Source organism: Homo sapiens, chromosome 2 (genome assembly GCF_000001405.40).
Source record: "Homo sapiens chromosome 2, GRCh38.p14 Primary Assembly".
NCBI classification, from domain to species: domain Eukaryota; kingdom Metazoa; phylum Chordata; class Mammalia; order Primates; family Hominidae; genus Homo; species Homo sapiens.
Window position 1 is genome coordinate 32,701,422 of NC_000002.12, and position 16,440 is coordinate 32,717,861.

Consider the following 16,440-nt stretch of genomic DNA (forward strand, 5'->3'; position numbering starts at 1 on the left):
AATATAAAGGTGTTCTGGGACTTAGGATACTAAGTGTTAGTACCAGCTTTTGCTATTAATAGAGGTGTGAGATTGAGCAGGTAATTTAACCTGTTGGTGCTTCATTTTCCTCTTATTGTAAGGGGGTTGGTCTATATTAGAGTTAGTTGGTCTAGATTAGAGGTTAAAAATTCAAGTGCCTATAGGAGTCAGGCAGGTAATAAAAATGAGTGAAATGAACTGTAAGGAGTCATAGGCTGAAGGACTTCTTGCTAACCTTTAATGAGAGTTTGGAGTTATGAATGAGTTTGATAAAAGACAAATACTTACTTTATCTTAGCCTAATAGTTCTTAAAGTTGGCTACGCTTGAGAATTACCTGGGGGGTATTTTAAAAAACACTGATGCCAGCCTGGGCAACATAGCGAGATCCTGTCTCTACAAAAAATAAAATAAAATAAATTAGCCGGGCATGGTGGTACAGGCCTGCCGTCCAAGCTACTCGGGTAGCTGAGGTGGGAGGATTGCATGAGCTCAGGAAGCCGAAGCTGTAGCTTGCCATGATCATGCCACTGCACTCCAGCCTCAGTGACAGAGTGAGATCCTGTCTCAAAAAAAAAAAAAAACAAAAACAAAAAAAACCAGCTACCAAAACTGACACCCACATCCTGCTCTCAGAGATCTGATATACTTTTAGAATACCAAGCTTCCCAGGTACTTCTAATGAGTAGCTAGATTTTCAGTGATTAATTGTACTCTAAGATGTTTTCCAAACCTGACTTTTTGAAACAAGAGAAGGACCAAGGGTGGCATCAACTTTCAGATAAATAAACAGGTCTTTCTCCTTTATTTGTGGTAATCTTTACTGAAAGTAATTGTTGTAAATGATCACCGAGACAATATCAGATTCCAAGTTGTCATCAAAGAGAGTTTACATTGTGCTCATTATACTAAGGAGTCAGTGTTTATCATAGTACATTTTGTCCCTGTTTTCACTTATCCAGTACTTTCATTTTGCTTCCCACTACACTTGTGATCATATTGGATGATTTCTACTATGTTCTCTGGGTAATGGTGGTCACAGCTTTCTCTGGGGTTAGGTTTCAGTGTGTGCATATTCAGTTTTGATATAGGCCAGTCTTTGTTAAGATGCCCCTTCTAGGAATGCATTTTCATTAAAATTGGAAACTCCCTACCCTAACAAATGCCAGAAAGCATTCTCATATGTTTTAGAATGATTTCTGTAATACAAATTGAGAAAAAGAGAACTTTTTGTTAACTGGGAAGATTTTCAAATCTGTGTTTAACTGTACCCTGATATTTTGGAAGAATTAATTTTGTCCTATTCAGAATGAGATCACCTAGCTTATCTCTTTTCTATGATTTTTTTCTTCCCGCTTCTATCAGTGTTTGCTTTCACAACCAAAGTTCTGGGCCATTCAGACATCAGCCTTGATCCTCCGGACAAAACTTGAGAAAGGAAGTACTCGCCGAGTGGAACGGGCAATGAGGCAGACACAGGTAAGAATTAATGTGGCAATTTGTGTGCTTCTTCCAACTCTCTATTGCTATCAGTAAGCATACATGTTTGCTATGAATGAAGGAATGAAATGGCTTACATTTCACTCAAATAATTTGTTACTGTTTAGAGAATAAGTTCTATAATTTAACTTCTTGGTTCCAAAGCCCAGCTCTGTGACTTAGCAGCTCTGTGAACTCGGTATTTAACCTCTCCAAACCTCATTTTCATCATCTGTAAAAGAGGTTAATAATAATAACAGCACTTAGGCTGGGCGCGGTGGCTCACGCCTGTGATCCCACCACTTTGGGAGGCCAAGGCAGGTGGATCATGAGGTGAGGAGTTTGAGACCAGCCTGGCCAACATGGTGAAACCCCGTCTCTACTGAAAATACAAAAATTAGCCAGGCGTGGTGGTGGGTGCCTGTAATCCCAGCCACTCGGGAGGCTGAGGCAGGAGAATCGCTTGAACCCTGGAGGCAAAGGTCGCAGTGAGCCGAGATCGTGCCATTGCACTCCAGTCTGGGCGACAAGAGCAAGACTCCATCTCAAATAATAATAATAATAATGGCACTTACAGGTTTATGGTGAGCATTAAAAGAGACAATAGAAGAATTAATAAATAAAGATATGCAGCCCCATAGGTATGGGTTGTATAAAGAAGTAAAATTCATCCTGATGCAAAAAATATTCACTAATGAACTAACCACATGTAAGATTAATCCATATTCAGGTACCGTTCTTCATTTAATGCTAATGTTTATTCCTATCCAGTGAGTCAATAGCATTTAGTCTCTTTTACACATTTTCTCTTAAACTATCCATGATGCAAATTTATTACCAAGAAAAATGGAAAATCTTACAATAGATGTAGGATTTCGTAACGTCAATGTCTTAGTCTGTTTGTGCTGCTACAACAATATACCTGAGACTAGGTAATTTATAAAGTACTGAAATTCATGTTCTCATAGTTGTAAAGGCTGGAAAGTCTAAGATCAAGGTGCTGGCAGATTCGGTGTCTGGTAAAGCCTCATTGTTCATGGATGGCACTGTCTAGGTGTTCTCATACGACAGAAGAGTGGAAGAGAGTGAACCCATCCTTTTACACCATTTTATAAGGGCCAAAGTCCTGCTTATGAGGGCTCTGCCCTCAGGACTTAATAATTTCCTAAACATCCTACTGCCTAATACTTTCATATTGGCCATTAAGTTTCAACATATATATTTTGGAGGACACATTCGGACTATAGTAATTAATGAAAGTGATTTTTTTTTTTACTTTTTTTTGACACAGGGTCTTACTCTGTTGCCCAGGTTGGAGTGCAGTGGCACAATCTGGGCTCGCTGCAACCTCTACCTCTGGGGTTCAAGCAATTCTTATGCCTCAGCCTTCTGAGTAGCTGGGATTACAGGCATACACCACCATGCCCGGCTAATTTTTGTATTTTTAGTAGAGATGGAGGTTTCACCATGTTGGTTAGGCTGCTCTTGAACTCCTGGCCTCCAGTGATCTGCCCGCCTCTGCCTCCCAAAGTGCTAGGATTACAGGCATGAGCTGCTGTGCCCGGCCAAAAATTTATTTTTATTTTATAAAAATTTCAAACCTATGTAAAAGTCATAAGAACAGTACGAAGAATTCCCATATAGCCTTCACCGTGAGATCTCGTTTAGGCTTTATCAACTTGTCCTCATAACATCCTTTGTAGCACAGGGATCCAAGCCTGGCATTTCACTGTCATGTCCTCTCAGGCTCCTTTATTCCAGAACAATTCCTAGTCCTTTTTTGACCTTGATGGGTTTGATGCTTTTGAAGATTATGGGCTAGTTATTTTGGAGACTGCCCTTCAGTTTGAGTTTGTCTGATGTTTCCTCATGATTTGATTCAGGTCATAGAATTTTGGCTGTCATATTGTAGAAATGATGTAGTACTCTTCTTCCCTCAGGTGGCACATGATGTTCACTTATCCTGTCACTGGGGATGTTATTTGATCATTCAGTAAGCTTGTGTTTGTGAGATTTCTCCCCAAGTAAAGTTACTCTACTCTTTTCCCATTGTAATTAATAAACATTTTCAGGAAGTGATATGGTTTGAGTATTTGTTCCCTCCGTATCTCTTGTTGAAATGTGATTCCCATTGTTGGAGATGGGGCCTGGTGGGGGGTGTTGGGGTCACGGGAGGGAGCAGACCCCTCATGAATATCCTAGTGCCCTCCCCACAGTAATAAGTGACTTGTCCCTCTGTTAGTTCATGTGAGAGCTTGTCTGAGAGAGCCTGGCTTCTCTTTTGTTTCCTTTCTTGCCATGTGATCCACTTGCTTCCCTTCCCTTCTGCCATGACTATAAGCTTCCTGAGGCTTCATCAGTAGCTGAGGTACATGCTTGTACAGCCTGCAGAACCATGAGCCAAATAAACATCTTTTCTTTATAAATTACCAAGCCTCAGGTATTCCTTTACAGCAACACAAAACAGATTAACACAGGGAGTTACTTTGAGACCATCTGGTTTGTCATCTAACTTTCACCCATAGGTTTTAGCATTTATTCTTTTCTTTTTACATTTTTATTTATTTATTTTTTACTTGCCACTATACTAACGAGGAGGTTTTAGCATTTTAAAAAAATGTATGTATTTATTCATTTATTTCTTCTTAGAGACAGGGTCTTGCTCTGTTGCCTTGGTTGGAGTGCAGTGGTGTGATCATTGCTCTCTGCAGCCTTTGCCTCCTGTGCTCCAGTATTCCTCCTGTCTCAGCCCTCAGCCTTACCACTAGTTAGGGCTACAGGTGCATGCAACTGTGCCTGGATAGTTTTTTAATTTGTCATACGAGGTCTCACTATGTTGTCCAGGCTGGTCTAGAACTCCTGACCTCCAGCAATCCTCCTGCCTTGGCCTCCCAAAGTGCTTGGATTATAGGCGGGAGCCACCTACTATTTATTGATGTATCTTCTCTGCATAAGTTAGCATTATGTATTGCCAAGTGGTAATTTTCTAATTCCATGATTATTTAATAATTTTTTAAATTGGTATTCTACTGTAAGGAAGAGCTTTCTCTTCTCATTTATTTTTCCATGTATTTATTTACTTGATTATGGACTTATGGATTCCTGTTTTATTTTATGGGGTGTAATCTTACATTATCATTCCTTATTTACCTTACTCTTTTTTTTTTTTTTTTTTTTTTTTTGAGACAGTCTTGCTTTGTCACCCAGACTGGAGTGCTATGACATGATCTCGGCTCACTGCAACCTCTGCTCCCTGGGTTCAAACGATTCTCCTGCCTCAGCCTCCTGAGTAGCTGGGATTACAGGCATGTGCCACCATGCCTTGCTAATTTTTGTATTTTTAGTAGAGACGGGGTTTCACCGTGTTGGCCAGGCTGGTCTCGAACTCCTGACCTCAAGTTATCTGCCCACCTCAGCCTCCCAAAATGTTGAGATTACAGGCATGAGTCACTGCGCCTGGCCTATCTTATTCTTAATTTATTATTGTGACAAAATTTTAGCCCATTTGAATAAGTATTAATCATATTATTTGTTGCTGTATTAAAAATAAATCCACAGACAGAATGTTATGATAAAAACAGAAGTGGGTTTTCTCTGTCAGAGAATGCTAATTTTAGAACCTCAATATCCATTCTCCCTGCTCCCTCGCCTTTTTGTTTTTGAGACAGAGTGTTACTCTTGTCGCCCAGGCTGGAGTGCAGTGGTGCAATCTTGGCTCACTGCAACCTCTGCCTCCCAGGTTCAAGCGATTCTCATGCCTCAGCCTCCTGAGTAGCTGGAATTACAGGCACGCACCACCATGCCCAGCTAATTTTGTATTTTTAGTAGAGACAGGGTTTCACCATGTTGGCCAGGCTGGTCTTGAACTCCTGACCTCAGGTGATCCACCTGCCTCGACCTCTCAAAGTGTTGGATTACAGGCGTGAGCCACTGCGCCTGGCCCCCTTCTTTATTTTAGTAATAGAACCTCCTGAATTTTATCCAGGCACATGACTTCCTGTCCTCTTTTGCAGGTTGGAGAGGCCAGGTGACTAAGTTGTGAACAGTAGGATGTGGATGAAGTGATATGTACCACTTCTGGGTCATACCCTTAAAAGGGAATGTGTGCTGTCCTGGCACTTTGTCCCTTCCCATTGGCTGGGAAATCAGGAGAACTGGGCTGCCAGCTTAGACCAGAAATGTTTTGAAGGTGGCTGAGCCCTTTTAGCAGTTCTGAGCCATTCATTGTTTTAGTCTATTTTCTGCTGTGATAACAGGGTACCACAGACTGGGTAATTTATAAAGAAAAGAAATTTGTTTCTTACAGTTCTGGGGACTTGGGAAGCCCAAGAGCATGGTGTCAGGATGTGATGAGGGTCATCCCCTGGCAGAAGGGTAGAAGGCAAAAGGAAGTATATGTAAGAGAGAGAGCTCCCTTTTATAACAAAGCCACTTCCATGGTAATTAACCCACTCCCATGGTAACAGCATTAATCCATTCATGAGGGTAGAGCCCCCACCTCCCACCACTGTTGCATCGGGCACCAAGTTGCCAACACATGAGCTTTTAGAGGACACATTCAAACTATAGCACTGTTGAATTTGTAAATGAACGAGAAACAGAATTCTGTCTTGCTCAAGTCTACTTTTTGATCTTTTTGTTATAGCAGTTTAGTCTATATCCTAATTAATATTCCCTTATTCCAAAGTTTAAAAAAAAACTAATGAAGTATATTTTATTAATTTCTAGAACTAAAAATATTTCTGATGGCCACCTCACTAAGTTTAGGTCGCTCTATTGATGTTTCTTAGAAATACAAATATTATTCCTTAGGTTTTATATATTCCATAGCTCTGTCCACTGAGAGGGCCTAGAAGCATTTACAGCTCAGTAGCAACAAGCACATCTAGTGCCAGATTTTATTTTTTAAGTATCATTCTTCAACAAAGGGTAGCAGAGCTCCTTGGATAGATGGCTGGTTTTAGGATTGGGGCAGCTGGGGCAGGGAAAATGATGAGCCTGGAACATCTTGTAGTGCCAGGAAGTAAGGTAGTACTTAACAACAAAAAAAAAAAGAAATGAGGTATGTCAAAAGGACACAGTAGCTAATCTAAAGAGAACCCAGTGGTCAAAGCTAGAACAATTTGAGCAGCAAATTAAATAGTACAGTTGACCCTTGAACAACACTGCTTTGAACTATACAGGTTCGCTTATATATGGGTTTTCTTTTGCCTCTGCCATCCATGAGACAGCAAGACCAATTCCTCCTTTTGCTTCTCCTCCTCAGCCTACTCGATGTTAAGACATTAAGGAGGAAGACCTTTATGGTGATCTACTTCCAGTTAATGAATAGTAAATATATTTTCTCTTTTTTTTCTTAATAGCGTTTTCTTTTCTCTACCTTGTTTTTTTTTTTTTTTTTTTTTTAATGAGATGGAGTCTCATTCTGTTGCCCAGGCTGGAGTACAGTGGCACAATCTTGGCTCACTACATTCTCCGCCTCCTGGGTTCAAGCGATTCTCTTGCCTCAACCTTCTGAGTAGCTGGGACTACAGGCGTGTGCCACCACAACCAGCTAATTTTTGTATTTTTAGTAGAGACACATTTACCATATTGGTCAGGCTGGTCTTGAACTCCTGACCTCATGATCCACCTGCCTCAGCCTCCCAAAGTGCTGGGATTACAGGTGTGAGCCACTGCGCCCGGCCTCTTTTTTTATTTTTCTAGCTTACTTTATTGTAAGAATGCAGTATATTAAGCTTGTCCAACCCACCTTACTTTGTTGTTGTTGTTGTTGTTGTGTTTTGTTGTTTTAGGCTTTTAGCAGCCTGAAACCATGTTTTTTTAGTTTCTGTCTCTAATGATAAGTGGAAAAGGGGGATGAGGAAGGGGCTTTCTCCTGGCTTAACCAGAAATAGAAACTAAGAACCCATGACTCTATCTGCTCCCTTGGATACCCCTGTTGGGTATATAATACATATAACATACAAAATATGTGTTAATTGGCTATTTATGTTATCAGTAATGCTTCCAGTCAAGAGTAGACTATTAGTTAAGTTTTTAGGGAGTCAAAAGTCATATGCTGATTTGTGACTGCATAGGGGGGTTGGCATCCCAAACCCCACATTGTTCAAGAGTCAACTGTATTTGATTGTAACTCAAAGTATAAGATAAATATACATGAGTCCATATTGTTATAAATGAATGATAAACATTGATGAATGATAAATTTTGGATAAATGGAGGAGAGGGGACAAATCTTCCTTACAGTAGAATTCTAAATAATTTATGTAAATATATGCCCCTCCAAGAGGTAGAGATTAATACCCCTTAACTGTGAGCTGGACTTAATGACTCACTTCCAAAATACAGAGTATGGAAAGGGAAAGATGTCAGTTTTACAGTGGAAAAAACTAGCAAACACTACCATAACCTTGTGATTATGGTTAATATCACTGGTGATAAAACTGTTGATACAGGTTCAGTCTCCCTTATCTGAAATGCTTGGGACCAGAAATGTTTTGGATTTTGGATTGTTTTCAGACTTTGAAATATTTGCATATACGTAATGAGATATTTTGGGGATGGGACCCAAATCTAAACACAAAATTCATGTTACTAGGGTACAACACCTGTTGAAAAGAAATAGAAAGAAGCAGAAGAAAATGTCAATCCGAGGTGTTGGCTCAGTAGAGCCTACAGTATTCCCCACTTGGCTGTCTCCTTGGGCTGAAATGGCTGGACCTGTCCTCTGCCTTCTCTTCCCTATCACTGGATATGGGCGGCCTCAGGGGCATGACCTCAGGCTAGGTGCTCTGTAGCTGAGGTGATGCTGAAAAAGCTGATAGTCCGAGGCAGTCTGTTGTCCCCACTCCCACAGCTGGGCCCCACCGTGTAGAGCAAAGAGGGAAGGTGAAGATGTAGTTGATTAGCATCTTCAATTATGGTGGATTATACCATTGTTTTAAAGTTTATTAAAAATTCAGTTTACACTAAAACTGTAAAATGTTGAAATGGCTAAAATATAGTTTATTTAAGGAAATACACATAATACTTTTTTTACATTATGGAAAAAGTTTAAGTGTCTGTTGTTGTTAAAGCTTCAGCCTTCTTTTTTTGTTTGTTTGTATTTGAGATAGGAGGTCTCGCTCTCTCACCCACTCTGGAGTGCGGTGGCATGATCTCGGCTCACTGAAACCTCTGTGTCTTGAGTTCAAGTGATTCTCCCATCTCAGCCTCCCGAGTAGCTGGGACTATAGGCATGCACCACCGACTTAATTTTTTGTATTTTTAGTAGGGTTGGGGTTTCGCCATGTTGGTCAGGCTAGTTTTGGCCTTCTTAATAGAAATAGTGCTAGACTACATCACTTATTGATGAAGGACATACTGACCTAGAAATAATTTGCCTTTTAGCCATCTCTTTCAGTAACTTTGGCAAATAAAATAACTAGGTCAGCATTCATTTTTCTTTTATAGCAGCAAATTAAACTAAAAAAGTGAATCTTTTAGGTGTTTATAAGTATATAGCTTTTTTTTTTTTTTTTTCTGAGATGGAGTCTTGCTCTGTTACCCAGGCTAGAGTGCAGTGGCGTGATCTCAGCTTGCTGCAACCTCTGCCCTCCCAGGTTCAACCAATTCTCCTACCTCAGCCTCCTGAGTAGCTTGGATTACAGGCATATGCCACCACACCTGGCTAATTTTGGTATTTTTAGTAGAGACGGGTGTCACCATGTTGGCCAGGCTGGTGTTGAACTCCTGACCTCAAGTGATCTGCCTGCCTCAGCCTCCCAAAGTGCTGGGATTACAGACGTGAGCCACCACGCCCAGCCTGTATATACCTTTTCAGTTCTAAACCTGCATTTGTGAAGATTATGTTTTTAGATATCAAATAACAAGAATGTGTTTTGAGTGGGAAACATAGATTTAAAAGAAGGCTGGGAGCAGTTGCTCACATCTGTAATCCTAGCACTTTGGGAGGCCAAGGCATTTGGATCACTTGAGGTTGGGAGTTCGAAACCAGCCTGGCCAACATGGTGAGACCCCCATCTCTACTAAAAATACAAAACAATTAGCTAGGCATGGTGGTGGGTGCCTGTAATCTCTGCTACTCGAGAGGCTGAGGCAGAAGAATGGCTTGAACCCAGGAGGCAGAGGTTGCAGTGAGCTGAGATTGTGCCACTGCACTCCAGCCTGGGTGACAGACCAAGACTCTGTCTCAAAAAAAAAAAAAAAAAAAAAAAGAAGAAGAAGAAGAAGAGAAGAGCCAAATCACTGTGCTCTGGCATTTTACCTTTGCATTGGCCTTACTATATTTGGGGTTCGTTCATTTTGCCATTCAAATGCTGCATTATCAAGAGAGTTGCGTAGTCCACTACCTGTAGAACAGAATTAGACAGTTACTTCTGCCTCCGCAGGGTAGTACTGTAGAAAATTCTCTTTACTTCCCCAACGCAGAAATCTTGGAAATTAGTCAGATCATGTGACAGGATGAATGCACAATTTGTCTAAGTTTCTGTCAATGTTGAGGCATTTAGCTCATAATCTGAACTTCTGCCAATTCCCCTGATTCAGAACTTGATATTACTTTGTTTGTTGAAGTTACTGCATCCCTGAGGAATAAGAGGAAAATGATTTTAAAATTACATGTATATATTAAGACAGTGTTGTGTTTTTTTAATTGTTTTAGTTTCTATGAAAATCTGTTCCCTTCCACAGCAGTGTAAAGTGATAAAATGGTAAACTTAAAACTTGAGGAAAAGGCTGGGGGCGGTGGCTCATGCCTGTAATCCCAGCACTTTGGGAGGCTGAGGTGTGTGGATCACCTGAGGTCAGGAGTTCAAGACTAGCCTGGCCAAAATGGTGAAACCTTGTCTCTACTAAAAATACAAAAATTAACTGGGCGTGGTGGCAGGCACCTGTAATCCCAGCTACTCAGGAAGCTGAGGCAGGAGAATTGCTTGAACCCATGATGTGGAGTTTGCAGTGAGCCGAGATTGTGCCACTGCACTCCAGCCTGGTGACAGAGTGAGACTCTGTCTCAAAAAGAAAAAAAAAAGACTTAAGGAAAATAAGCTAGAAAGGACCCCCTTAGGAAAAAGTTTAATCTTGTTCTATTATGTGTTGAGGAAATGCAGGTGTGATGAAGTCAGGTAACCTTGCCCCAGTTTGTCTGGCTAGTTAGTGACAGTCTGGACTACACAGACTTACATGGTTGCCGGCAGTTACACTGAAGGCTTCAACGGCAAGTCCTAAGGAATGGCAGATTTGGAAGAGATCTCTAAGTGAGACGTGCCAAACTTGAAAAGAAAATGTTTAATCACAACTAAAGGTAAATAAATCATGATTATAAGATCCACAGAAGAAGAAGAAACTCCAAGTCGAGGACAATCTATTAAAAACACCCTGTCTTCTGAAATTATTTCAGGCTGCAATTTTTTATTGCATGTTCAAGGCAGTGGTGATGTTAGTGACAATGAAGAAAATAATGTTTATGGAAACTATTTTAATGGCTATGATTCAGAAGCTGCTTGAAATAAAATAAGATTATATTCTTCAGTAATCATTTACACCCTGCTTTTCTACCAGTGGAGTATAAAATAGTGTTCTCTATCGTCATTCTGCCTTTCCTTCCGCATCTGATCTAAATTCTTTTTTTTTCTTTTTTTTCTTTTTTTAAATGAGGCAGAGTCTCACTTTGTCACCCAGGCTGGAGTGCAATGGCATGATCTCGGGACTGCGATCTCCACCTCCTGGGCTCACCTGTTTCTCCTGCCTTAGCCTCCCAACTACAGGTGTGCGTCACCACGTCTGTCAATTTTTGTATTTTTTATAGAGACAAGGTTTCACCACATTACCCGGGCTGGTCTTGAACTCCTGGGCTTAAGCTATTCACCTTCCTTCGCCTCCCACAGTGTTGGGATTACAGGCATGAGACACTGCACCCAGCCTTAAATTCTTATATTCAACATTTTATCAGAAGATCACATCCTTTTCTTTTATATGCTGTGGTTTATGTGCATCTCCCAAAGTTGATGTGGTGGAAACTTAATCCCCAATGCAAAAGTATTGAGAGATGGCACCTTTAAGAGGTGATTAGGTCATTAATGGATTAATGCCAGTATTTCAGGGGTTAGGTTCCTGATAAAAGAATGAGTTTGGCTTCCTTCCCTCTCTCTCTCTTGCTCTCACTCTCCCTCTTGTGCCTCTGCCATGGGATGATGCAGCAAGAGGTCTTTTCCAGATGCTGGCCCTTCCATCTTAGACTTCCCCGTCTCCAGAACTATAAGAAATAAAATCTCTGCTCGTTATAGGTGACCCAATCCTAATATTCTATTACAGCAACACAAAGGGGCTAAAACATTTTATAATCCAAATGTGAAGCAAATTAATGGAAACTACATATATTCAAAGGGACCACCTTATTTATGTCCAAAACAAAACATTTTTGAAAAAAAAATTGTGCAAACCAAATTTGTCATTGTCTTCTTTCATATCAAACTCCTTTCACATGGTGTTAGATAAACTTAGTTCAGTCTTTGGAGATCAATGTTAGATTGTTTTATGTTTATTACTGAAATAATCTTGATAATGAATTTTAATTACTTGGTTACCTCTTACACCTGTTAATTTAAGTCGTGAAGTTCTGTCCCTGTCCAAGCCGTTGTGCCTCTGAAGATATTTGTCCAACAGGAATATTTTTCTTCTTCCTTGGATTTCCAGGAGGACATTGCATTGAATTGGAAATTTGAGATTATTGCAGTTTTCTGTCCCTGAAGTCTGTTTATACTGCAATTTGACTTTCTTAACTGTGTTAATTAAGTCAGATTTCACAATTTTTAAATGACTTTTTTCCTAGAATATTTGTTCTTTTTTTTGACTTTTAACTTAGGCTCAGGGGTACATGTGCAAGTTGTTAAGTAGGTAAATTGTGTGTCTCAGGGTTTTGGTGTACAGATTATTTCGTCACTCAGGTAATAAGCATAGTACCTGATAAGTAATTTTTCAATTCTTAGCTCCTTCCGCTCTCCACCCTCAAGTAGGCCTCAATGTCTGTTGTTCCCTTCTTTGTATCCATGTGTATCCAACATTTAGCTCCCAATTATAAGTGAGAGTATGCACTATTTGGTTTTCTGTCCTTGCATTAGTTTGCTTAAGTTAATGGCCTCTGGCTCCATCTTTGTTGCTGCAAAGAACATAATCTTGTTCTTTTTTAGGGTTGCGTAGTATTCCATGGTGTATATGCAGCGCACCCCCGCCCCCCCGCCTTTTTTTTTTTTTGAGATGGAGTCTCGCTCTGTCGCCCAGGCTGGAGTGCAGTGGTACCATCTCGGCTCACTGAAAGCTCCACCTCCCGGGTTCACACCATTCTCCTGCCTCAGTCTCCCGAGTATCTGGCACTACAGGAGCCTGCCACCATGCCTGGCTAATTTTTTGTATTTTTAGTAGAGGCAGGGTTTCACCATGTTAGCCAGGATGGTCTCGATCTCCTGACCTTGTGATCTGCTTACCTCGGCCTCCCAAAGTGCTGGGATTACAGGCGTGAGCCACTGCACCTGGCCAGGCCTACCCCATTTTCTTTATTTAGTCTACTGTTGATGGGAATTTAGGTTGAGTCCATGCCTTTGCTATTGTGAATAGTGCTGTAATGAACATACACACACATGTGTCTTTATGGTAGACTGATTTATAATCCTTTGGGTATATAAACAGTAATGAGATTGCTGAGTCTGATGGTAGTTCTGTTTTAAGTTCTTTGAGAAATTGCCAAGCTGCTTTCCACAATGGCTGAACTAATTTACATTCCCATCAACGGTATGTAAGTGTTCCCTTTTTTCCACAACCTCTTTAGCATGTTATTTTGTGACTTTTTAATACCCATTCTGACTATTGTGAGATGGTATCTCATTGTAGTTTTGATTTATATTTCTCCAGTGATTAGTGATGTTAAGCATTTTTTTCATATGCTTGTTGGCTGTGCATATGTCTTCTTTTGAAAAGTGACTGTTCATGTCCTTTGCCCACTTTTTAATGGGGTTGTTTTTTGTTTTTTGTTTAAGTTCCTTATAGATTATGGATATCAGACCTTTGTTGGATGCATTTGCAAATATTTTCTCTCATTTTGTAGGTTGTCTCTTTACTCTGTTGATTGTTTTGTTGTGCAAAAGCTCTTTTGTTTAATTTGGTTCCATTTGTCAATTTTTGTTTTTGTTGAAATTGCTTTTGGCATCTTCATCATGGAATCTTTGCCAGTCCCTACATTCAGAATAGTACTTTCTAGGTTATCTTCCAGGGATTTTATAGTTTTTGGTTTTACATTTAAGTCTTTAATCCATCTTGAGTTGATTTTTGCATATGGGGTAAGAAAGGGGTCCAGTTTCAGTCTTCTGCATGTGGTTAGCCAGTTATCCCAGCACCATTTGTTGAATAAGGAGTCCTTTCCCCATTGTTTGTTTTTGTCAACTTTCTCAAAGATCACATGTTGTAGGTGTGTGGCTCTGTTCCTGGGCTCTCTATTCTGTTCCATTGGTCTGTGTGTCTGTTTTTTGTACCAGTACCATGCTATTTTTGTTTCTGTGGCCTTGTGGTACAGTTTGAAGTATGATAATGTGATTCCTCCAGCATTAGAACATCTGTTCTCGATACTGTGTAGTTGCATGCATGCTTTGAAGGAGTGGGGATTTTTATCATAGTTAATTATGGAGGGAGGAAGACCCAAAATACCATGTTTGTTACCGTTGTGGAGATTATTGCTCCTGTGTGGGCCGAAACATTTCTCTTTAAAGTTGGTAGTCCTTTCTTTATATGGCACTCATGACCTATCTCATTAATTCTAGTAATGATTAAGGGCATGTCATAATGAAACCCTTGATTGGAGGAATATTAGTCACAGTAATGTACTGTCAGGATTTGTTACACTGAGGCTCGTACTTGTGTTTGAATAATTTGAGAAAGAGGTCCTTTATGTTTGTTTTTTTTTTTTAATACTGATGGAATTACCACACTCTGCAGGAATTAGATGTAACACCTGGACCAGGTCCACGGTCAGTAGTAGTGAAGTGTGTCACTGTTCTTAATTGTTTTAATTATATGAATGATACTGCTCATTATAAAAATATAAGCAATATAGAAGTGGAAAGTAAAAAACAACAGCTTTCTTTTCCTCTTGCTTGCCTTTCAGTCTCAACAGTTTTTACCTTCTAAACCTCTTTCTATGCGTAAGCATAAATATACTTTGACATAAGTGGGATCATCCAGTCTTCATTGCTTTAAACCTTTTTCCCTCTAAACATAACAGCTTGATCAGCTCTGCATGCCAGTACTTGTGAATCTAGCTCATTCATTCCAGCAGCCATATGTCACTCTTTTAAATAGAAGTGCTACAACTTATTTAACCAATCCTTTATTTTTTAAAGTGTCCTTTAATTAATATTTTATTTTTAAACTGCATATTACAAATTTTAGTACTGCATATAATAAAAAAATTAGTTCACTCAGGAGGATTTTAAATGAAAGATATAAATTCTTCCCCAATTCTGAGTTCATTTTTAGCTATTTCTTTTTTAGTTGTTATTCTAGTGGTTTCCATTATAACTTTAAATATTACATTTCTTTAATACTTCTGTCTCTTGATTTGTCAACTTTTTAGATAGAATCTGTTGATTCCACACTATGACTAAGGAAGAAATCAGCACACTTTTCATCTCCTCTTCCATTTTTATGTTATTTTTCAATTGTTGGGGATTGTTACTCTATATTCTATTGGGTAATTTTTATCATGTATGTTTGTTCTATATGTTTTTTTTTTCTTTCAGAGACAGGGTCTTGCTCTGTTTTCCAGGCTGGAGTGCAGTGGTACAAACATGGCTCACTGTGCAGCCTTGACCTCTTGGACTCAAGTGATCCTCCCACCTCAGCCTCCTCAGTAGCTAGGACCATAGATACCCATCACCATGCCAGGCTAATTTTTAAGTTTTTTGTAGAGGCAGAGTCTTGCCATGTTGCCCAAGCTGGCCTCAGACTTCTAGGCTCAAGCAGTCCTCCAGCCTTAACCTCCCAAAGTTTTGGGATTACAAGTGTGAGCCACTACACCTGGCTCAGATTTTTTTTTAATTTTTTTTTTTTTTTGAGACAGTCTTACTCTGTCACCCAGGCTGGAGTGCAGTGGCATGATCACAGCTCACTACAATCTTGAACTCTTGGGCTCAAGTGATCCTCCTGTTTCAGCCCCCCACGCCCAACTAATTTGTAATATTTTTTTTGAGACAGGGTCCTACTACATTGCCCAGTCTGATCTCAAACTTCTGACCTCAAGTGATACTCCCACCTCAGCCTCCCAAAGTGCTGGGATTACAGGCATGAGCCACTGTGTCTGGCCTATATGTTGATTTTTTTAAAACTTCAACCCAATCTTACAGCATTGTAATGATGATGCTGTGAGTGTACTGATTATTGATTATACACCAAATGGTGTGATTGGACCCATGGAGAAGGAAATGCAGTGCTCCGTGTCTAAGTGTTTGCCACTTGAAGGAAGCTGTCACAAGAATCAAGGTCCAGGGGATTCTCCACTGATTTCTTTTTTGCTCTTTGCTGTAGGTCATGGTCAGCTACCACTGCTTCTTTCCTGTTAGTTATTATCTTTCTTGTTTCCTTTTTTTTTGTATTGCCTCATTGTGTAACTTTTTCACATGAAGAACAAATGTAGTTAAATTTGTGTCTTTGTGAAAAGTATTTTTCCATCATAATTCAGTAGTTTGGGTGTATAGAATTCTAGTTGCAAAATCATTTTTCTTCAGGACTTTAAATGAAGTCATTACCTCAATATCGTCTGTCATCCAAGTTTGCTAATAAGTATGGCAGTCTGATTTTTGTCTTGTTTTAAGTTCTTTCTGTTCTTCTTGTTTTGAAATTTTTTAGAATTTTCTCTTTATTTTTGGAATTCTGGATGTATCTAAATTTGACC

General features: G+C 39.8%; 1 protein-coding gene across 5 annotated transcripts in view; it reads left to right on the top strand.

The window, feature by feature from the left end:
* The window catches only part of TTC27 (tetratricopeptide repeat domain 27), a 193,002-nt gene that overhangs the window by 73,372 nt on the left and 103,190 nt on the right, over positions 1–16,440 (top strand). For all 5 annotated transcript variants that reach the window (NM_017735.5, XM_011532958.3, XM_005264416.3 and 2 more), the window contains exon 10: positions 1,386–1,499. In NM_017735.5, coding sequence (NP_060205.3) covers positions 1,386–1,499 — 114 coding nt within the window. The remainder of the gene's footprint in view (positions 1–1,385; positions 1,500–16,440) is intronic.